The sequence below is a fragment of the Homo sapiens genome, chromosome 4 (assembly GCF_000001405.40).
Source record: "Homo sapiens chromosome 4, GRCh38.p14 Primary Assembly".
Lineage (NCBI taxonomy): Eukaryota > Metazoa > Chordata > Mammalia > Primates > Hominidae > Homo > Homo sapiens.
Genome location: NC_000004.12, coordinates 171,298,847 through 171,302,344, shown reverse-complemented (window position 1 = coordinate 171,302,344; position 3,498 = coordinate 171,298,847).

Sequence of the window (3,498 nt, the reverse complement as noted above, 5' to 3'; positions counted from 1 at the left end):
CTATGCAGCCATGAAAAAGAATGAGATCATGTCCTTTGCAGGAACATGGCTGGAGCTGGAGGCCATTGTCCTTAGCAAATTAATGCAGGAATAGAAAACCAAGTACCACCTGTTCTCACTTATAAGTGGGAGCTAAATGATGAGAACTCATGGATACATACAGGGAAGCAACAGACACTGGGGCCTACTGGAGGATGGAGAGTGGGAGGAGGGAGAGGATCAGCAAAAATAACTAATGGGTACTAGGCTGGCTTAATACCTGGGTGATAAAATAATCTGTACAACAAACCCCTATGACATGTGTTTACTTATGTAATAAAACTGCATATCCTGCACTAGTACCCCAAACTTAAAATCAAAGTTTAAGAAAAACCTAATTATTCCTATAAAAAGTCTCAATTCTTACTCTCATAAGGTCTGCCAAAGAAATTATCTAATATAACATCACTCAAATCTAGGAGTATACCCATAACTGTGATGATGCACTTGAACAAATCAAAGTGCTAACTAGTTAAAACATTTTCACTTATTTCTGGAGGCTTTTATCCATTCATCTAGTATCACTGACCACACCTTCTGCCCCAATTACCAGAAGGTCCCTGAAACCAGTTGTGGAGGTCTAGACATTTTCCTTAACCCACAGCCCCCCACTGCTTCTCATTGTTACCAGGCTACTATATCATGTGGTATTGTATCTATCTTCTAAGAGTCAAACATTGTGTCCCAAATAGTTTTAACTACATTAACATACAACTTTTTTTTTAAATTAAGCACACGATACCAGTTCAGAATCTCCTTTTCCCAAGACCAATATCCTATCAATGACCTTATAGCTTTTCCCTGCCACTAAATCTTTTATTGACCAGCTCCCTAGTCCACTGTGACCAATCTTCCTAGCTTTGAAACTTGGGGATTAGTCTTCACCCTTTACAGGCAAAGGTAAATTGGCCTCCTTGGACTCCAATGGCCAACATTGCCAACCAGGCATCTCAGTGAATACATATGTGTGGATTACCAATCAGCTGAAGAATAGGTAAGTAATCTCTGGAGCTCTCTCTCTGTATCTTCCTCTTGTTCATGCCTTTCTTTTCTGTTTTTCAGTTCTCTGGCTTGTGCATTCCAGCTACTTTGTTCTCCCAAAATTCTCAACTCTGTATCCTCAATTGAGGAGCCTGCAGGAATATGTTTGGGTTCACTCTCCCTATGCTGTGTCCTATGAACTCTCTCCAGGCAGTAAAATGGGACAACTCTACGGCTTAAGTGATACTTTACCTAAGAGATAACTGCCTTGTGCTATTTACTGTCCAATGTTTACAAACACTTGTCTCACATACTTTGTTCTGTGTTTAACTGTTCCAAGCAGAAGGATAAATAAATTCCATATGAACCCATCATGGCTGGAAAAAGAAGCCTCATCTCCCAAACCCAGTGAGGTTTTAAAAATTATTGTTATTAATATTTTAGCAATTGCTCCTGAAAAGTCTCAGAATAATAGCAGACTTCACTGACTCTAAGATGTCATTGGGTTTTAAATGCACTATTATGTAAGACTAAGAAAGAATAACACTTCCAATTTGATTTTTACATTGCTATCTCTATATGAAGATTTCAGAGACATTAGAGGTAGAAAAGTGGCACCAAGTTAATGAAACATGATCTCACTGACAATATATGGCAAATAAACATTATAATAAGATTCAAATTCATATGTGATAATATTTAACTAGTTTTACCTGCTCTATTTTTGTAAATTAGATACACAGATATTTCGTTTCTTTGTAGTTATCCTAATAAGGAAGTTTTTTGCATAAATGGGCCAGAGTCTTGCAGAAACTGAAAATTACGTACAAAATGAGAGTATCTGGTATTTGCTGGCCTCTTAGAGGCTTAAAATATATCTCTGCGACGATGACATACTGACTGAGCATTTCTATCAACTTCTTATACAATTAGAGACTTCAAATAGCACTGTGGTGTTTCCTTAATCAAATAGAGTTAAAAGAAAATATGAAAAGGGAATAAAGATTGTAGTGAAACATAACTTTTAAAATCTTTGGAGTAAACACTTATCATATCACTATTCTGAAACAGAATGTTTACATATTTCCAGTTCAGCAGTCCTTTAGGTAAGTGATGACATTCAAAACTGAAATTCAAATTTGAATTCTAGATGCAAGTCCACAGGATTCCCAATGGACAAACTGAATTAACTCTCACAATTCCTTCAAGCTTTGCTGGCTAAGGAGATGTAGTAAGTCTAAAATACATAATTATCTGGTATTCATAAATATAGCAAATGGGGTCTATTATATATTTAGAACCTAGATCTTTAAAGAACCAGCTATATACCAAGGAAGCATAAAAATCACAATCATTTTTCATCAGTTCATTCAGTCCCATGTAACTAGTTCTTGTTCTGCTTTATCTTGGGTTAACTACTTGATGAACTGATTAGTTTCTCTATTGTAGTTCTAGAAGTCTGTACAGTCTAGTGGTGTGTTCTCAGAGTTATTTCAGCAATGCCATCAGAAGCCTGTATTCCAGATTAACTGTCATAGTTCTGTCTGTGGTTTCTGAGACAGTCACATTTTGTTAAAAATGAAGCACTTTGGCTAGTAGTTAATTACAAGAACTTTTAGGGAAAAATCAGAATAAAATTAAAATTATTTCTTGATGACAAATAGCTTTAAATCGCCATGGTTAAAGATCTGATGAGAATTTAACAAAATATTTGGTTTATGACATCACAGGTTATATTTCCAGTTATTTTTGTGGCATAACAATTGAAATTATTAGTGGTAACATTATACTATTGTGTCCGGAATTGGTGGGTTCTTGGTCTCACTGACCTCAAGAATGAAGCTGCGGACCCTCGCGGTGAGTGTTACAGTTCTTAAAGGCGGCGTGTCCGGAGTTTGTTCCCACTGATGTTCGGATGTGTTCGGAGTTTCTTCCTTCTGGTGGGTTCGTGGTCTCGCTGGCTCAGGAGTGAAGCTGCAGACCTTGGCTTGGCGGTGAGTGTTACAGCTCTTAAGGTGGTGCGTCTGCAGTTGTTTGTTCCTCCCGGTGGGCTGGTGGTCTCGCTGGCTTCAGGAGTGAAGCTGCAGACCTTCGCAGTGAGTGCTACAGCTCATAAAGGCAGTGTGGACCCAAAGAGTGAGCAGCAGCAAGATTTATTGCAAAAAGTAAAAGAACAAACCTTCCACAGTGTGGAAGGGCACCCTAGAGGGTTGCCACTGCTAGCTAGGCAGCCTGCTTTTATTCTCTTATCTTGCCCCACCCACATCCTGCTGATTGGTAGAGCCCAGTGGTCTGTTTTGACAGGGCACTGATTGGTGCATTTACAATCCCTGAGCTAGACACAAAGGTTCTCCACGTGCCCACCAGATTAGCTAGATACAGAGTGTGGACACAAAGGTTCTCCAAGTCCCCACCAGAGTAGCTAGATACAGCGTCCATTGGTGCATTCACAAACCCTGAGCTAGACACAGGGTGCTG